General features: G+C 36.9%; 1 long non-coding RNA gene across 1 annotated transcript; it reads right to left on the bottom strand.

Moving 5' to 3' along the window:
- Positions 1-12,259: 12,259 nt before the first annotated feature.
- On the bottom strand, positions 12,260-14,652 carry LOC105376774 (uncharacterized). Its single transcript, XR_933751.2, has 2 exons — positions 13,949-14,652; positions 12,260-12,518 (listed from the first exon to the last, which is right to left on the bottom strand). It is a non-coding gene; the product is annotated as an uncharacterized LOC105376774 (long non-coding RNA).
- Positions 14,653-20,907: the final 6,255 nt, after the last annotated feature.

Here is a 20,907-nt window from a genome sequence, read left to right as displayed (position 1 = left end):
CTCATCCTCCTTTTCCTCCCAAATCAGGGAATAACACAATTTTCCTTACATGTGAGCAAGCCATTACTCTAGGATATGTTCTCGACATCTTCTATTTGCCCCAAGTGTAATCAGTCACCAAGCCATGCCAAATTTGACCTCCAAACATCTCTAGGAAACTATCCACAGCTCTATAGCTGTAATTAGTCACCTAGTTCATGTTACCACCTTCTGAATTACTTCAAAGTCTCTGACTTTCCCATACTGGAAGCATAATTATCCTCTTATGATAGAAACCTGATCGCCTAATTTAACACTGCACTAACTGCTCAATTGCTGAAGGGATAAAGAACACTTTTAATGGAGGTATGGACAGCCTTTCATGTTTTAGCCACAGTTTCAGGCTTGCTCTCATGGTCTGCTGCCTTCTTATACTCAACAGACACATTGGGCTTCTCTTAGCTGTATGACTGGGCCTTTCTCGCTCCTGCCAGAGGCCCTCAGCACAAGCTGATCCTCAACCTGAAATCCCCCTGTCGCCCAAAACACCTTTCACACACCCACATCTCTACAGATGTCAAATCTTCAGAGAAGTGACTCACAGTTCCCCAGAGGAGCTCAGAGACCCTGTTTATATGCGTCTTCTTAATAAAATCAATGCACATTTTATTGTTCTACGTTTAATAATGCATTGGACACATGTAAATTTGGCTCAGCATTGTATCCTGAGCCTCAAACACTGTGAAATAAATATTTGTTAATGAACAAAAAAATACTAAGAAAGCACCTACTTTGTTCCTGGCAGTGATCTGGCTGCTTTAGATATAACAGCAAGCTCTATGGAGACAGACTGATAATAGATAACTATCAAATGCCAGAAATGTGTAGAAATACTATTATGATTAGTGTGATCGATAAAAATAAAGCACATTAAAACAGAGTTGGGAACAGAGCGACAGCAGGGTGTGGTATGATTTTATATCCTCTGGTAAGAGACAGTCTCTCTGAGGAAGTGACACTCAAGAGACTTAAATGACCTAAGGGAGCAAGACATTCTGCTTTCTGGCCGCATCACATAGGATCCTGCAGGCATGTTGCTTTAGAACTTTGAATTTTATTCTGAGTGAGATGAGAAATCATCAGAGACTTAAGAGCAGGGGGTGATGTGGTCTGACTCAGTAAATAAAATGATGTGTTCCGAATAAATAATAAAAACTCGCTCTGGATGCTCCATGGAATACAGACTTTTTTATGGAAGAGGTGGAAGCATGTACATTAGTTAGCGGGTTCCCACAAACATGCAGGAGACAGATGTTTGGATTACAGATGTGTTTTGAAGGGAGAGGTTTCAGAATTTGCGGGATGAAGCAATGGGATTTGTGAAAGAGAAGGGTATCAAGATGAGCTCCAGAATTTCAGTCTGAGATACTCCAAGAAGAGGGCCAGGGAGAGGTGCAGGTTTGGGATGGGCGGATTAGGAGAGGGAATCAAGGGTGAGTCATTATTTTTTTAAAAACTCAGTTTTCTCCATTGTTGAAGACATTTCAACATAACAAATAACTAACAACATTAGAAACTCATGACCCAGAAATTACACTCAAAGGATTCTGCAATGAAATCCTGACATTGTGCCATGAAGAAATTTAAAAAATATGTATGGTGGTAATTAATTTTTAAGTCCTTTTTTTCCAGAAGTGGCTTATAAGGCCAACACAGGGCCTGCTAAGAATCCCCTTAGATGGCTTAAAATCTACAGTCTTAAATGACTGTAGCAAACACACTGTTTAATTAACTAACTCTTCACTATGTTAATTTATTGTAACTAGATGATGTTTGTTGAGGTTCCCACTATATTATACTTTACTAAATTATTAGAGTAAGTCCACACTGGCCTCTATTCTACACTTCAGTTAATTGCCCTTTCTAATCAAATTTAATGAAATAATCCATATTTCCTTAAACCCTGATTTGTGTAGGTTACTTGATTAATAGGTTTACCTATAAAATAAAGCCCATACTTCTAAGTCATTTATGTCCCCACACAATGGGCTTCTGCCTATTTTTAAAAATGTGTCTTGCACTGTTCCTCTTTACTGTTCTCTTTTAGAGTTGAGCTCACCCTGGCCTCAACACACCATGTGTGATTCCACCCTGGAGGTTTCAGTGGTATCCATCGGTCTGCTCTATAGTATATCAGTTCTCATTTAGATCCCCATAGACATGCCCTTACCTTAAAACTTTAGTCCCATAACCTCCATAAATTTTTTCCTAAAATTGCGTCTTTCTTCTCTGAAATGTTGTAGCACTGATAATCCCTGACACCTGAAATGCTATAATAAAAGTTGGCTTTAGGGAAAAGTTACAGAGTTCACATTTAGCCATGTTGAATTTGAAATGCTTGGAGACATCCTAGTAGATATTTCTAATATTACCCTTGCATTTTAGGAGCAAACAAGGGAATCTGCATAGTTCAGGTTGTGCTAAAGCTAGAAAAAGAAATCTCCTAAATATTTATAAGCACAGGCATGCCCTCATATGCTTTACGGGTTTGAATTCACACTACTATTATAATTAGGAAAAACGCAGACTGATAAATAAATTTAAAGTTGTCTACGGTTGATACTGCACCTGCTGCCTTGCAAAGGTAATAACATATTTGCAAAAGAAGAGATACTTCATCAATCCAAGATGTTGATTTTCCGAGATAGACCCACCAAGGATGGGCTTATAGTTCAGAATTATAAGACACATAAGGAAAAAAGACACATTAGCAAAAGTTTCCAGAAAACCTACCAACAGCATTAGAACCTAAGAACTATAGATTACGGAATTATTGGAAGTAAAATATTTATGAATGTTAAAAGGTGTATCAAAACATGACAGAAGAACAAAACATCAGAAAAATACAGCAGAGTAGGTTATGTTTATAAATCTAACGTAAGAAGCTCAGAAATTGTTACTTGTGTCTTTACAACAAGAAAACACATGAAAAAACTGAGTTGCACACTTGAGAGAACTGAGGTGGCAGGATAAAGTCACCTCAAAATCTCAAGATAAAAGCAAATACAGAGAATTACAACAAGACCAGGTTACCTGGAAGAGATATCTCTAGAACTATAAATGGGACACTAATGGAAAAATATACAATATGCAAGAATAGATGAATAATGTAAACAGAGAGATGGAAACTCTAAGAAGGAATCAAAGGGAAATACTAGAATATAAAAGCACTGTAAGGGAAATAAAAAATGACTTTGATGGGCTCCTCACTTGACTAGGCATGGCCAAGAAAAGAATCAATGAGCTTGAAGATTTGTCAATATAAACATATTAAACTAATAAGCAAAAGGAGGAAAAAATGGGAAAAATGCTTATAATAGAATATCCAAGAACTGTGGGACAGTTTCAAAGAGGGTAATATATGAGTGACTGGAACATCAGAAGCAGAAATAGAGACTAGAACAGAAGAAATACTTGATGTAATAATAGCTGAGACATTTCCAAATGGAATTAAGACACTGAACCAAGATCCAGGAAGCTCAAGAAGACTGAGCCGGATACATACCAAAAATCTAAACCTAGGTATACTACATTCATACTGCAGCAAACCACAAAACAAAAATTAAATCCTAAAAGCAGCTATGGTCAGGAAGAAATTGCCTTACTTCCAGTGGAACAAGGACAATAATTAGAGTGGACTTTTCATCAGAAACCATGCAAGCAAGAAGAAAGTAGAGTTGAGTATGTTTAGTGTTCAAAGGAAAAACAACAAAATACACCAACCTAGAATTTTATATCCAACAAAATTATCCTTTAAGAGTGAATGAGAAATAAAGACTTTCTCAGACAAACTAAAATCAAGAGAATGCATTGCCAGCAGAACTACCATGCAAAATAACATTAAAAGAAATTTTTCAGGGGAGGAAGAAACTCAGGCCTACGTGAATAAAAGAAGAGCAATAGAGAAAGAATTCATGAAGGCAGTATAAAATTTTATCTTATTCTTAACTGATCTCATAGATTAATATGGATAAGTGAAATGAATGACAACAACGTTAAAGGGGATGGGAGGGCAGAATTGAGAATCATCTTTTGTATGTTATCTCCACTACCCATGAAGCAGTATAGTGTTATTTGAAGGTGTACTTAGATTAGTTATAAATGTATATTATAAGTTCTAGGAAATCATGGTTTTCTTAAAATAAGGCATATTTGGTAAAAATTGAACTTCTTAGAAGTGAACAATGTATTTGAAATATATCACAGAAATTAGAAACTAAATGGATGAGTTGAAAAAAGAAAAAAAGATTTGACACAGGTTAAAATATTTGAAGATATTCTGAAGATATAGCATAGAGGTCTGGAAAGTTGAAAAACATGAGAGAGATGTTGGACAGAATGCAGGCTGTGGCAGGGTCCAGGCTTTGCCTCTGGGGAAGGTTACACAACCTGTGGTTTAGGATGTGATCATATTTAAGAACACAAGAATTGTACAAATAGTTCCTGGGCCCTTCTGGCTGCAAAACAAATAAAAAGACAAGGCCAGGCCAGCTGAACAGATCTGAGTAGGCCCATAAATAAAGCCTTGCATACTTTGATGATAAAATCACTCAATCAAAAATTATATAGTATTAACTATACAATCATATATCTGGTAAAAATGGAAAAGTGTAGAATAATTAGAAAATACATATAAACTCATGTTATTATAGTAAAGTAACTAACATCTTCATCATGACTCCATTATGGGTTCAGCTGTATTATATCGGCAATATTTCCATCCTTCCATTTTATGACCAAGAACATGGGGTGACTGAAATGAACTATTTCTAACATAGATGAACGCATAGTATGGCAATAATTTTATGATGAAGTTCTATTTATAAGTGATCACAAAGAGCAAACAAGAAAAACATGAATGTATCAATGGGCACGTTGATGTATTTTTGTAGATTAATGCTATACTATGAATATCAAATATTTTAAAGTGCTTTGTAAGGATTTGAACTGGTACAAGAATATTAGGGAATCCAGTACTATGAAAGAGAGAAAGAAAATATGTAAAAATTTAAACAATATTTCTTTAGCCAGGCACAGTCTTCTCTGTTCTTCCATAGAAGAAAAAAACTAAGACCAGCCTATCTATCCATCAGCTGAACTCTCTAGATCACGTTACCATGATATGCTTCTGGAGAAATGACATTTGCTGGTTTGTTTTATTATCACTTCTAATTATATCTCAATCATTGTGCATTTTTAATTATATCTGAAAAAATGTATTCTCCAAAATAATACTAGAGACCTGAACTACATAATCTGCAGCAAACTTTTAAGTTAGCTTTTACATCATTTCTGTCTTAATATTTTATAGCTGAGAAGAAAAATTAGTATTTATCTCTGTGTTTGGCTCTTAAAGTGTGTTCAATTAAATGAAATGTTTGGTAAGAATGATTGCTGACTTCAAATAAATATCTTCCTCCTGCCATATTTATAAAGATATTCTTTTAAATAAATTTCTAATGATTGTTTTTATTATAGACTTCATTATCCAGAAAATGCTTAGGAGGCATTAATAGAAAAATATTTAAAAAACTGTTTTATTTACATCTGTTCATGGATTCTAGTGTATAGGTATCTGATCTATATTAGTGAGCTCTATAGACTTAAAGGATGAACCTAGTATATGGATGGGTCATGTACTTCAAGTAATGCTCAAGATATCACTTGAATGCATGATCTGTGAAAACAACCTTCCTAAAATCAAGTTGAAGAAACCCTGAATCTGGAAGTAGTGTGTAACACAACAGGAGATAAGATGGTAGACTCTGGGGTATGGTGGATTATTTTTTGGAGGAGATACTTTTGATAAAATATTTTTTGAGATGGCTTTTTATATTAAAAAATGAAAATATACTACTGACTACTGCCAGAGAACATAGTCTGAATTTGAGACAGTGAATCATACATATTTTCTTTCCAATGTACTGAAATTCATCTAGATTTTCTAAAGTTAATTCCATCATTTAAAGATAAATAGCTAATGCACGTGGGGCTTAATACCTAGGTGATGGGTTGATAGGTGCAGCAAACCATCATGGCACACGTTTACCTATGTAACAAACCTGCACTTCCTGCACAGGTATCCCAGAACTTTAAGTTAAATTAATAAATAAAATTACCAGTTAAATCTGAAGTTCAAAAAATTAATGCCAGCTCATGATGAATTCTAAGTAAGCAGACATGAGTAGAAGAAACACCGAGATTTTACCACACTGTAACAGTTTTTTTTCAGTGGCTTGGGAAACCCCAGTAGAGGAGAAAATAACTATTGTTAACAGACCTGGTTAAATATTTCAAAAAAACTAATGAATGAAATGATAATTGGGGCCACCTCCCATATGTTTCCTATGAGCAAAGGTAATCATTATTGACCATAAATTCATATTAAATAAACAAATATCAACCATATTGAAGTCTAAAGATTCTGTGGGTGCCACAAAATTAGCCAAGATGACTCACAGTGGCCCTTGACAAATAGGCTTGAATCAAAGAAACCAGGCATGTAAATGATAACATTTTAAAGAACGAAATGGAGAGTGGTCTAGACTACATATCTCCATTTTCTCTAAGTCTTCTGTTTTCCTACCTGCAGTTGTCTGTTTAAAGAGGTGGTAATAGTTACGGGACGGAGTAGCTAAAATGCAGCAGTTTGCAAAACACTTCAGTGGGTCCCAACTTCGTTGTTTTTTTAACCTGTTCCCTAAGCTTCTGAACCTTAAAGAACAATTTGCAAAGCTTCCAATGACATGGTAAAAGAACACTAACAGCCCTGTAATGAATTGGAAATCAAGAAAGCATTAAAAATGCAAATACATTCTTGTTAATATCATATAATTGTGAAGAACTTCCAGGCAATCAATTACCATTTAACACAAAAGCCTGTAACGATTTAATTAGGAATCCTTCACCTAATTGAGGTCAAGATTGTTAGCAGTGGATGTCTAATTAGCTTGCTTACTGCAGCTCTTTTCTTTGAAAACTGCCTCAGTAAAATCTTTCCTTAAAAGATATTCCTAGCACCACCACGAACATATAAAAGTTGTATGTAAAAGTTGGTAAAATCCAAATGCAGTCTTTATCTGAGCAAATAATATTGTAGCACCATCAGATTCCGGTTTTGACAATGTATTACGGTTATATATTATCACTGGGGAGAACTGAGTGAAGCTAATAACTTTTGCAACTTCTTACGAGTGTTACACCATTTCAAAACAAACTGTTACTTAAAATGCACCCTTTTATTTCAGAAGGGCAAGACAGGACTTGAATTGTCTACTTTTTCTTTTATGGTTACGGTGATTATTTTAGACAATAATTGGTTCCATGAGTTAAGGCATTTGATATAGTTACAGTCAATACTAGGTTAACCAATCCAAAATTAATTGATGACTCAAATCACAGTAGCACTTCTAAGAGCCGGAGAACATTTTTTTTTTGACTGTTTATATTCCTAATTTCCTTTTGACCAGATTATGGTCTTTCAACATCTAGGTATAAAACTTCAGCTTGAAATATAGTCCAAAATAAGGTCATCCAATTAGTTTCCTTTGCCTAAGGGAAGAGCCCATTTAATGTTCTTTAAGATTAAGGCTTTCAAAATTATTTCAATGGAAAATACATTAAAATAAATGATTTCATAATAAGCTAACAAGAATCAAGGGAGATTTATTGTTGTACAGTTTCCTGGCACAACAATGACCACATTTTCTTCGCTGAAACTCTAATACTCCAAGGTAGTTTAAGATCAAAAAAAAAAAAGCAGTGACCATATCAAATGTATAATTTCTTATGTACAATGCATATTTCCATGTTTGAAGACCCGAACATTTTTTAGTTTATACTCAGCATATATTGAGTAAAATTTGGCCTGAGAATTGTTTCCAAAATCTACAATTAACATTTAAAATAAATGTTCTATAGAACACATGTTGGAAATAACTAGTATAGAGAAGTACACATCCTAATTAAGTCTAGTATCAACAGCCCAACTTAGAAATGTATAACACACATAGCCCTGGGGTGGTTATTTAAAAATTAAAAATTGGTCACTCATTTTAATGACACCAAAGTCTTTCAATTTTTGTTAGTTACCTCAGACACCCCATGTTTTTATTTTTGCATTTTAAAAATTACATCTTATAACAGCACAGGTGAAACATTTATTTTTATCTTGGTTCTAAGTCATGAAATTCTTAGACCAAGATGACCAACGTGAGTTGTCACACTTTCTTTGAAACCAGTACTGTCCGTCCATACTGCTGCAGTTCAGTTCTTTGAACACACCAAGTTCTTCCATGCCTCAAGGCTTTGTCTCAGGCTGTTTCCTCCATTGCAAAGGCATTTCCCTCTCTCCTGTATACAGCACTACCTTTGTATCATCCGTTTGGTCATCATTTAGATGTCACTTCAAATGACATTTGAAGATCTAGGACATCAAATAGTATTAACTTTAAGTAGGGAAGTTCTCTGACATTCAGTGGGGATTTTCATACTGGAGAGGAAAATCTATCCAAAATCTTCCAAGTCTGGATACGTAACCTGTGTCCAATGCATATCCTGTCTATATCGCACTACTACAATGAGCGTAGTTTCTTCAGGTCGTCTCAGAGACATGGGTCACAGTGAAGGTAAATTTTATCAGGGGATTCTAATGTGGTCATCTACAGTCCTGTGACTAGGTGTAAGGCTCAGACTGAGAAAATGATCAGTAGAATAATGCTAAAACTGTGGTATCTTTGTATTCAATGTCTACATTGTTATTCATTCAGTCTGTTAGGCTAGAAATGTACGTCGTTCATATTGTTTTTATTTTTTCCCATTTCACACTACAACAACCAGCCTACACTTAAATTTATCGTAAGCTGTGTACCTCTTTTACCTATCCTATGCCTGCAGTGGCAACCACCCCCTTAGTATGTTTTCTTTTTCTCATTGAGAATTGAGTTAATTCCACTGCTTTTATTTTATGGAAAGCAACAATGTTGGAGAAGAACAGGTAAGAAAGGGAAAAAGCCAAATTTTTGACAGAGAAATAAAAAGATAATATTTTTGTGATTGAATGAGTTTATTCATTCACCAAACACTTATTACTAGCTATCTCTGTTGAATGAAGATAGGCTGGGATTTATGCTAGGAACTTTTCGTTCCAAATGTGAATATTTAGCTTTGCAACCCTTTGGTAGAGAACTGTAGTCCCTTTATAATCAGGTGACTGATTTATCAACCAGTCCCACCTGTTGACCTCTCCACCTGTTTTTCAAGACTCTCAATCAGTAGCTACTACATGGACCATATAATTTTAGACACAAAGATTATAGAGAGTACTACTCTGAATTATGTGATATTTTAAACATTTACTCGTTGACCTTGACATTTTTATGAATATATTTAAAATTAGGTCCTCCTTCTCTTCAACTTCATTTTAAATTTGACTCTAAATAAGTATTGATAGAAAACTAAAGTGTGAGTAAAAATATAAAATGAGGCATGAAAATTCAGAAGTATAGAAATACGCTTATTGAAGTAAAAAATGTTTAAAAGTTAACGTGAAAATCCATTTTAAAAAGCCCTTAAAATTGCTGGAATCAGTTAAAGTCTTATTCACAGTAATCAAAAAAATGGCATTTTTATACAATACCAAAGTTACAGTCATAAAAGAGGAAAGTACTTCTCAACATATTAGAAATTGTCCCTTTCAAGTTAGCTGTCTATGCACAACAATTATGTGGTAATCACCTTCACTAGAGATTTTTCTGACTTCATCCCTTCCAATAAACATGGTAAGTCTATTATGTAGAATGTGAGTGATGAACTAGAATCAGAAAAAGGAAAGTAAACAGCATTTTGTGACATAAAAAATAATTTAGTTTTAAATCAGAGTCATTCCAATGAAATCTGGCCTAAAACAGTCAGCCTAGCTGATGTTACAATTCTAGGAGCTTCTGAGAGCAAGAAAAAAAAAAAGGAAGCCAACTCTTTGGTTATTTGAAGAAGCAACATGTGTTCTAAAATCTTTTACACAGAATGCCAATATTAGGTAAAATAAGTCATATATTGTGGATAAACTGACATATTTTAGCAGACTTTTTTTGTGTTAGAAATATTCAAATACACTTTTACAATGAAGAATTGGTAAAGTTTTGATTTTCCACAAAATTTATATTAGCTTCTTAAAATATTGAAATATTTTTAACATGGTCTGCCTGATAATGAACGTAAATGGAGGCATATTTCCTACCAATAAAATACAATTATTTTCAGAGAGAATAGAAAATTGTATACTTTTCATTTTAATTTAAATGCAATAATTATTTCTTTGATTTTTATGCTGCTCTAACAACCAATTATGAGTCAATATGTGGTCACTGTGTTTATTCTTTCATCCATCCATTTTCTCCCAATTCTTTTTGAATAAGTGAAAACTCATACTATGATTTGGTCTATGTCATACATTATTTTTATAAATAAATTCTCATCACTCTATACAACTATGAGGAGGATTAACTACCAACTGTTTACATTTCAGAAAGATGGAGGATGTTTTGCAAATCTTGACATTCTTTCAATTTCTTTCCTTTCTCTTTTTCTCTTTCTTTTTCTTTCTCTTTATTTCTTTCTTTTTTTCTTTCTTTCCTTCTTTCTCTTTTCTTTCTCTCTCTCTCTCTTTTTTTTTTTGTGAGATGGAGTCTCACTCTGTCACCCAAGCTGGAGTGCAGTGGCATGATCTCAGCTCACCGCAAACTCTGTCTCCAGGGTTTAAGCAATTCTCATGCCTCAGCCTCCTGAGTAACTGAGATTACAGGAGTGTGCCACCATGGCCGGCTAATTTTTGTATTTTTAGTAGAGATGGGGTTTCACCATATTGGCCAGGCTGGTCTCAAACTCCTGGCCTCAAGTGATCTGCCCACCTTGGCCTCCTAAAGTACTGGGATTACAAGTGTGAGCCACTATGCCAGGTCATGAATTTCTTTACCTAAGACATGTTCAAGTGGATATGAATCTAAAGCGACAACAGTTCTCCAGGAACAGCAAGAAGGGGAATCACCTTTATTTGGGCAATTGGGGAAGGAGTACAGAAATGGAGAACTGATTGTTATTGGATAGATTTTATTTTTTTTAGATGGCAAGAAACAGATATAATCAGCTCAATAGTTCGGATGAATTGTTAGGAATCAGTGCAAGCCACCCCAGAATCTATATACCCCAAAAGCCACATGGTCATCCTGGCATTGTGGCCTCCTATCTAGTTGAGTGGGGCTCCCCCAGTAATTAATGTCCAAACCAAGGCTTCGTTTTTACCTTTGCATGCAACTTGTACATTTGTTCCATAGCACATAGTTCTCTTTCTATTCTACTTATTTTGAATTAGTTTCCTCACGTATACAGTGCTTGATCCACAATTTTTTTTTTTTTTTTTTGAGATGGAGTTTCACTCTTGTTGCCCAGTCCGGAGTGCAATGGTACGATCTCGGCTCACGGCAACCTCCACCTCCCAGCTTCAAGCAATTCTCCTGCCTCAGCCTCCCCAGTAGCTGGGATTACAGGCATGTGCAACCACACCCGGCTATTTTTAATTTTTAGTAGACACAGGGTTTCTCCATGTTGATTGGGCTAGTCTTGAACTCCCAAACTCAGGTGATCTGCCCACCTTGGCCTCCCAAAGTGCTGGGATTACAGGTGTGACCCACCTCTTCCGGCCAATATTAAGTTATTTAAATGCAATGGTGAGCTCTTTTTAAAACAATAAAATCTGTAATTAGCTTATTTTATGGCTTAAACTCTTTTATTGCCATATTATCTCTTTGTTTTCAATTTTCTTGACTAATGATCACTGTTCTTTGTCTGACACATATATCTGAAGTAGAGCTGGGAAAAGACAAAATAAAAGTGAATTGTGATTGGAACATAATTTTAGGAAGGTAGGATTGAGATGTGGTATTGAGATTTACTCAGCTGGAAAAGGGGGACAACTTTGGGATGATGTAGGGAGTAAATAAAACATTATGTACCAAGTATGCATGTGTGTGTGTGTGTGTGCGTGACCATGCCAGAAAGGTAAGATTTTACTTGATGCATATTAAATGCTCTTTCGCACATAATATTTCCTCTCTGTGTGAAGACTTAAATTTTACCTTCAGCTGCCTGAGTAAAAGATCCTCAACAAGTATGTATCTAAAATTTTAAAAGGAGTTAGACATAAAAGAACTTCAAGGAGTCTATAAAGACTTATAAAGCCTTTAATATCTTTGTGGTGACAATAGAAGCATCCAACTTTCATCAGGGGAGTCAGACATAAAATAATTTTAAGGAGTCTTCAAAGACATAAAGACTGTGCCATCTTTGTGGTGAGAGCAAAAGGATCCAAACCCCATCAAGACCACTCTGCTCTCCAGTCCTGCAACTGCACCTGTTGTCTCCAAACCTTCCTATTGTTTCTTCTTGTCTTAGGCCCTGAAAGGTATTCCACCCTAATGCAGTGTCTGAAAGTGAAATGGATAGAGAGAGTGGCTATTTACAGTGGCCAATCTTTTTAAAGGCAGGGAGCCCTGCTTTCTTTCACAAAGTGATCATAAAAGTTCTGGGCATGTCTACACCAGTTTGTAACACAGTTTGGCTGCGGTATTTGGGAACACAAAATGACAGCCCTTAAGCCAATGAATAATTTGAAATCATAAGGGGCAATTCAGAGGTGAGAGGAAGTAAGGGAAGACACATGAATTGGTAGTAGCCACCCAGATGACTTTAGTTCTTAAAGGCTGAGGAACTAAATAGGGGTGAAACAGGAAAAAATCCCTCATGATAGTCATTGAAGAGTATTTTAAGAATGTAAGTGTCTCAGAAAGACAAACATGCATGTTCTCACCTGTGGGATCTAAAAATCAAAACTATTAAACTTAGGGACATAGAGAGGAGAAGGATGGTTGCCAGAACCTGGGAAGCGTAGTGGAGGGTTTCGGGGGAGGTGGAGATGGTTAATGGGTACAAAAAACTAGTTAGAAAGAATGAATAAGACCTATGATTTGATAGCACAATGAGGTGACTACAGTCAATAAGAATTGTACATTTTAAAATAACTAAGAGCATAATTGAATTGTGTGTAACACAAAGGATAAATGTTTGAAGGGACGGATACCCTATTCTCCATGATGTGATTATTACGCATGTATGCCTGTATCAAAACATCTCACGTACCCCATAAATATATACACCTACTATGTACCCATAAATTTTTTAAAAAAAAGTTTAAAAACCCAAAAGAACAAAAACAAATGGAATGTAGGCGCCTGATGTTCAATTTGATGTGACATTTGTTGTTCCTATATGCACCCCATTGTCTCTCCGAAATCCTAATTCTTCAAGTGGATGACTGAATACATAACTGCTGTAAGTAAGGCTTTGTTGTGTTTCAGTGATTATGTAGAAGTTGAGGAATTTTTCTGAGTTGATACCATGCGGACCAGAAACCAGTACACCCGGGCCCAAGAGATGATCTGAACCTATAAAGGATGACTGGAGAGGCTGGCCAAGACACTTACTGCTACTCAGGAAGTAGCACATATTTTGGAAAGCATTTTGAACATATGAAAACATAGGGTTTTGTATTTTAAGCCAGTTTTTCTGGCAGGAATGAATCAGCTGACATTTAGATTACAGAGGAGGTGGTTAACAGAAGAGTGGTTTACATGATAAAATGGAGTCATCAAAATTAAAATGAGACCGTGTGGTTACTAGCAGCCCAGATTTTAGAACAGAAGGGATTTGAGTAGAAGCCAGTGCTAGGGGATTGGCAGCCAAGAAGCAGGGAGGAACTCAGTCACCTGCCAGGAGATGACTGGAGGTTGGGGGAAGAGGAAGGGGGTTGACAGGGAAAGATGGGGCTGCTCCATGAGCTGTGTGCCTTGTCACTCACTTCTTGTCTGCTGTCACTTTTAGTGCTTTGCAAGACACCTCCCTCTCCTGCCCACGCCTGCTATTGTCATGTTCCCCTCCAGTCCCAAAGCTTGCACAGCTTGACCATCCTTGAAGGTAAAAGATAGTTGAAAGGACAATGAAGTATGCAGTGGGCAATGGGACCAACTTCATGGCATAAGGTCAAGGTCAACCGTGACCCTTGAAAAAAACTCTCTACTTGACCAAACATTGGTTATATTTCTCTGTGCACCCTTTTCGAGAAGCCCTTGACCTTGGTCTTCAGTGTCTGTTTTGTTCTTGCCGGACTTACAGGGCCTAGACTTAGCAAGAACCCTATTAAGTCAGTTAAGCAATAATCTGCCCTCCCCTTGATCAATGTTGATATTTGATCATTGCTGACATCTAACCAAGTCCCTCATCTCTCAGCTTTGATATGTAGCTCCTTGGACTGTCTTAGCAAGAATCCCCCTATTCTTGCTGTTTCTTCTTAGTAATCCACTGACTCCCTTCCACTTCTCGTTGGCTATAAATCTCCACTTCTTCTTATTGTATTTGGAGTTGAACATAATCTCTCTTCCCTATTGCAATACCTCTTTTGCAATGACCTTAAGTAAAGTCTTTCTCACCATTTTAACAAATGTCAGAATAATTATTCCTTAGCGCCCTACATAACAGAGCCCTGCAACCAGGTGTGGTGGCTCACACCTGTAATCCCAGCACTTGTGGGAGGCTGAGGTGGGAAGAGACTCTATCTCTAGAAAACAAATTTTAAGAATTAGCCAGGTGTATTAGCATGTGCCTGTGGTCCCAGCTACTAGGGAGGCTGAGGTGAGAGAATTGCTTGAACCCAAGAGGTAGAAGCGGCCGTCAACTATAATTGTGCAACTGCACTATAGCCTGGGCAACAGAGTGATATCCTGTATCAAGAGAGAGGCAGAAACAGCCTTTTTCTCGCACCAGAGCAGCCCCTGCTCTCTTGGGAGAACAGGGGCTGTTTTTTTTGTCTCTCTTAGATAGAAGGAGGCAAATAAGCAAGAATTGTAGAACATTCCAACTGGCTCCTGGACCTGTGGACTGATGAAGTCTGTGGTCATACCTCCACCTGCTAGGAATGTGTTCTACAGGTTGGTGCAAAAGTAATTGCAGTTTTTACCATTAAGAGTAATGGCAATAAAATGCAGTTACTTTTGAACCAACCTAATAATAGTTGGACATACAGTAAGATGTGCCAGTCCTAGAATTTTCTCCCCTGCTCCTGGCATTGAAAGGCCCATCCACGACACGTCTCTGGTTCAAGGAATTGGCGTGATAAGTGGTTTGGAGCCTGTCCCAGGCCCTGGGATCCACCCAGAGGTCCTTTGAGCACCAGGCAGCATCAATGAAGGGTGCAGAGGTTGCTGGCTGGGGAAGCTGGGTCTTTTCGTGCTGCTCCATCCCCTTTTCAAGCCATGCCTCCATGCTGGGCAATACACCTGGTGTCCCTACTCCAGCAACCCTGTGGAGTTCACAAGATTCAAAGACCTGTTATCAGACATGGTCATCTCTGTTACCAATAGGAAAGGCAGAGGGGAGAAACCTGGGTCCAGGACCCAGGCAACCCTAAAGGAGTGTATTGTTTACCATATGCAGGGGATGGAAAAGGGAAGGAGAGTATAAAGAGTTAAAAGTGCAGTTTCTGAAGTGTGTGGATTCTCACTGGGGTTCAGTGAGGAAGCTTCAAGGCATAAACTGGTGAGAGAGTCCACAGGGCAGTGGATGCCACCTGGTTGCAGAGCCTCCTTCCTGGTGAAGAAGTCAGGAAGAAAAAAAAAAGAAAAACAACTCTCAGGGCATAGTCAGTCAACCTCCAACCTCCACACCTTTCCAGAGCTATCCTCTGAACCAGAGATCCAGACTCCACCCAGCTGACACCTGTTCACTCTCTTGGGCTGCACCCTCTTCCCAGACTCCGGTCTCTTTACCCAGTCCCACATCACTCTGAACACCAGGGAAACTGCTTTGAGCAGTGAAATCAGGCCTCTGGAGAGAGCAGGGCCTTCGGATGAGAGGGATGGCCCAGCCTAGGGAGGCACAGCCCTCAGAGCGCGAGTGACAGCAAAGCAGGCTCTGTGATGCACATGACCCGCCCGCCTGCTGTGTCGAACTGGCAGTGAGCCCCTTTCCAAGTGCATGGACAGTTAAAATATGCAGCGCTTTGAAAGTCACCATGTTTCTTACAACTTTCAGAGTAGTTAAACATATTGATACAAATGGAATCCTGCCTCTCCATAATTAATGAGCTTTCACCAACCTGGCTTCTTGGAAACAGCCATCCTGTCTCTGTTTAATGTCCAGCATAAAGTCTTCTCACCACAGTTAGTTGAAATAGCTCATAAGAGTAAAGTATTGTTGTAATTATTCCTGCTGTGAATTGTGGTGCCCACTTAGAAATACAATTTTACTTTGCAGCATTTTCTGAATTGCCAGATCTCAGTCCGTTCCTAGGCACACACCCCTGAGCTATGGGACAGGAGCGTGAGTCTGGCCCTCACCCAACTCCTGGAAATATTTGTCTCCTCCTTTTCTCAGAACACATACTTCTTGGGAATGAGGAGTCCACCACTGTTGCATTTCACTCTTGCCCAGTAAGTATCTATGCCTATAGTATCGTGTTGGTACAAAAGTAATAGCAGTTTTCGCAATTTAAAAAAATGCAATTAAAGGTTTCTAATGGCAAAAACCGCAATTACTTTTGCACCAACCTAATGGACACTTGAATATCACTCATTATAAAAACTGAAAAATAAATGGGTGGAATTGATTATACTCTTAAGAAGAGAATTGTAAATGTCCTTTGGATAAACTTTTAAACAATTCAAATTTGGAAAGAAACCTTCAATAGTGTTTTCATGTGTAACTCATTCATGACAGATTCATTTATCTGCTGATTAATGTATTCAAGGCTGATCAATCCAAAGCCTAAAATGTCACAGGGTTCTTCAGTTTTTACTCTTTGGTTAATCATATTCATCATATATCAATTTTTTAAAAAATATATTTTCAGGACGATTTTTGATATACATGAAAACTGAAGATAGTACAGAGGGTCTCTATATAGCCTATACTCAGTTTCCCTGAATATTAACACAACATATTAGTATGGTACATTTTTTACAGCCAGTGAACCAGTATTGATACATTTTTATTAAGTAAAATCCATACTTTTTAATATTCCCTTAGTTATTACCTAATGTCCTTTTTCTGTTCCAGGAAACTGCCTGCTTAGGCTACTCTTGGCTGTGATGGTTTCTCGAAGTTTCCTTTTTTTTTTTATGACATTGACAACAGTTTTTAGGGGTACTCGTCAAGTATTTTATAGAATGTTCCTCAATTGGGTTTTATCTAGCGTTTTTCCTATGATTAGACAGGGGTTATATGTTTTGGAGAGGAAAACCATAGAGAAGATGCCATTGTCATTACCTCATATCAAGGGTGCATCCTATCAATATGATTATCGCTGTTGAGGTTGATGGGGATCATCTGCCTAAGAAAGTGTTTGACAGCTTTCATCACTTAAAGTGACTCTTCCCCTGTCTCCTTTCCATACCGTACTTTGTAGGAAGCCATTATGCACAGACCACACATTTAAGTTCTTGAGCTATTCTCCACCTCCTGTGGCATGGCATATCTACATACATTATTTGTAATTCTTCTGCACAGAATTTTTGTCTCTTCTCATCTGTTTATTTATTCAATCATGTATTTATATTAGTATGGTATCATGGATATTTATTTTATATTCTGGGTTATTCTACAATATTACTTCATTTTTTGTGTTGCTCAAATTGTTCCAGCTTTGGCGATTACGAGCTCTTTCAGGGTAGTTGGTTTCTACATTCATCTGACATACCCCCAACTCTCTCTCTCTCTGTGTGTGTGTGTGTGTGTGTGTGTGTGTGTTTGAGCACTTTATTACTTTCTGGCACTACAAGATGTTACAAGCCTGTCTTATAAATTTGTTTACCCCAAGGCTAGAATCAGGCATTTCTCCAAGGAGCCTTGGTTTCTTTAAGGAAGAATGATATTAGAAACCAATATCTGTGTGCTTGTGGCTACTGAATGTTTCTTCTGGATGCTCTGAGCTGACAGGATAAGGAAATAGATGAGTGTACACTAATTCATGTATATACACATATCTACACACATTTCTATATGTAACCATCATATCTATATAAAGCTAAGCCTGAGTTCACACCAATGTATCCAATGCTAACCCATTACCACATGGGACTTTCTGGCTTCTTCTTGCTTTTCTATAAACTCCCATTCCAATAATGAGAAACCTGAATTTCACTATTTGCCATCTATTTACTTAATTGTTCAATTCCAGTATACATGGATGTCAGTATCAGAATTCTTAACCTGTGTCCTCATGGGAAACAACTTTATTAACTAGAGTAAAATTCTTATGCAGAGTTTCTTTTGCATTTAATTTTATAGACTTCTTTCATATCCAAGGTTGCTTACATCAGCAATATTTTCCCACACTCCCTTTGGGTGAGATTGTCCTATCATAACATTTGTAACAGATTTAGGTTGTTTTGTTACATTTGAATTCAATCTTAGGATTCTCCTGATGTCCTAAATTATTTATATATATTAAAGCTCACATTTTGTAGTGTAAGGCTGAATAGGTTTTGATAAATGCATAGTGTCATTAATTAAAAATTACAGTATTATACAGAAAAGTGTCACCACATTAAATTTTTCTGTGCTTTACCTACTCAACCTGAGCCATACAGTATGTAGCCTTTTCAGACTGCCTTCCTTCACTGAGTAATATACATTTGAAATTCATCCATATTTTTCATGACTTCATACAGCTCTTTTTTATTGCTGAATAACTTTCTATTATATGGATATACCACAGTTTGCCTACTCACTCAGTGAAGAACAGCTTGTTGCTTTCAATTTGGGGAGGTTATGAACAAAGCTGCTACAAACAGTTGTGTGCAGGTTTTGTGTGGGCCTAAGTTCTTAAATCTGTTTTGTAAATACCTATGAGTGTGATCGCTGGATCATATGGTAAGACTATGTTTAGCTTTGTAAGAAGCTGCCCAATTTGTCTCCCAAAATGACTGTGTACTTTGTATTCCCACTAGCAATGAATGAGAGTGCCTGTTCCTCCTTCTTGCCAAAAATTGGTATTGTCAGGGTGTTTTTGTGGGTTTTTTTGGTTCTTTTTGGACTTTAGCCATTTTAATATGTGTGTGATATTAGAACATTTTGTTTTAATTTGCAATTCCCCGAGGGCAAATGATATTGAGAATATTTTCATATGTTTATTTGCCATCTGGGTATCTATTTGGTGAGGTGTCTGTTCAGATCTTTTGCCCATTTATTAACTGGGTTGTTTATTTCCTTATTTTTGAGTTTTATTTTTTAGCTTATTTGGATATTTTGGATACAAGCCTTTATTACACATGCATTTTCAAAATGTGTTCTCTCAGTCTATAGCTTTTCTTTAATTTTTTAAACAATGCTCTTTTGCAGAGTAGAAATTTTTAGTTTTAACAACATATAACTTACCAATATTTTCCTTCACGGGTTTTTTTTTTTCTTTTGGTATTACATCTGAAACTCATCACCAAACACAAGGTCACCTAGATTTTCTATGTTTTCTTTTAGGGTTTTCATAGTTTTGCATTCTCCATTTAGGCCCATGATCCATTTTGAGTTAGTTTTTGTGAAAAGTGTAAAGTCTAAGTCTAAGTTCAATTTATTTTAGGATATACACAACCACTTGCTTCAGCAGTATCTGTTGAAAGACTATCCTTTCTCCACACAATCTCCTTTGGTCTTTTGTTAATGAGTAATTGGTTATATGTGTGGGGGTCTTTTCTGGCTTCTGTTCTCTTCCACTGGTCTGTGTGTCTCTTCATTGTCACTATGACATTGCCTTGATTACTGTGGTTTTATGTACATCTCAAAGTCAAGTATTAGGAGTAATCCAAGTTTGTTTGTCTTCAGTATTTTGTTGGCTATTCATGATCTTTTGCCTTTCTGTATAAACTTTAGAAAGAGTTTGTTTATGTCTACAAAATATCTTGCCAGGATTTTGATTGGCATTGCATTGAGTCTCTGAATCTAGTAGAGAACAATTGGCTTCTGACAAATCCTAAACCTTCTAATCCATGAACATAGACTATCCATTTATTTTTATTTGCTATAATTTATTTCATCAGAGTTTTGTGATTTGTATAGAGATCCTGTACATATTTTGTAATATTTATGACTAACGATTTTATTTTTTAGTGCTATTGGAGGTTGTATTCTTTTTTCTAATTTTAAGTTCCAAGTGTTTATTTCTAGTCTATATGTGCATTAGTCTTTTTTTTGTATTTGCATTGTGACAAAGAAGTACCTGAGTCTGGGTAATTTATGAATAAAAGAGGTATAATTGTGTCATGGATCAGCAGGCTGTGTAGGAAGCATGGTGCCAGTATCTGCTTGGCTTCTGGTGAAGCCTCAGGAAGCTTTTACTCACAGCAGACGATAAAGCAGGAGCAGGCATGTCACATAGTAAGAAAGGGAACAAGAAAGAGAGGGGAGATGCCACATTCTTTTTAAAGAACCAGATCTCTCGTGAACTACCAGAGTGAAAATTGACTCATTACTGTGGGGATTTCACCAAGCCATTAATGAGGGAACCACTTCCATGATTCAATACCTCCCTCTTGGGCCAATCTCAAACATTGGACATCACATTTCCACATAAGATTTGGAGGGGACATACATCTAAAACATATCAATAAGAAAACAATTAATATTATATATTATCATTTTATCCTGCTACCTTGCTATAACTGCTTATTAGTTCTAGGAGTTTTCTAGTTTATGTGTAACATTGATAATCTAGCCAAGTGCGGTGGCTCGATGTCTGTAATCCCAGCATTTTGGGAGGCTGAGGCAGGTGGA

Source organism: Homo sapiens, chromosome 16, assembly GCF_000001405.40.
Source record: "Homo sapiens chromosome 16, GRCh38.p14 Primary Assembly".
Taxonomy (NCBI): domain Eukaryota; kingdom Metazoa; phylum Chordata; class Mammalia; order Primates; family Hominidae; genus Homo; species Homo sapiens.
This window is presented reverse-complemented; position numbering and strand designations above follow the sequence as displayed.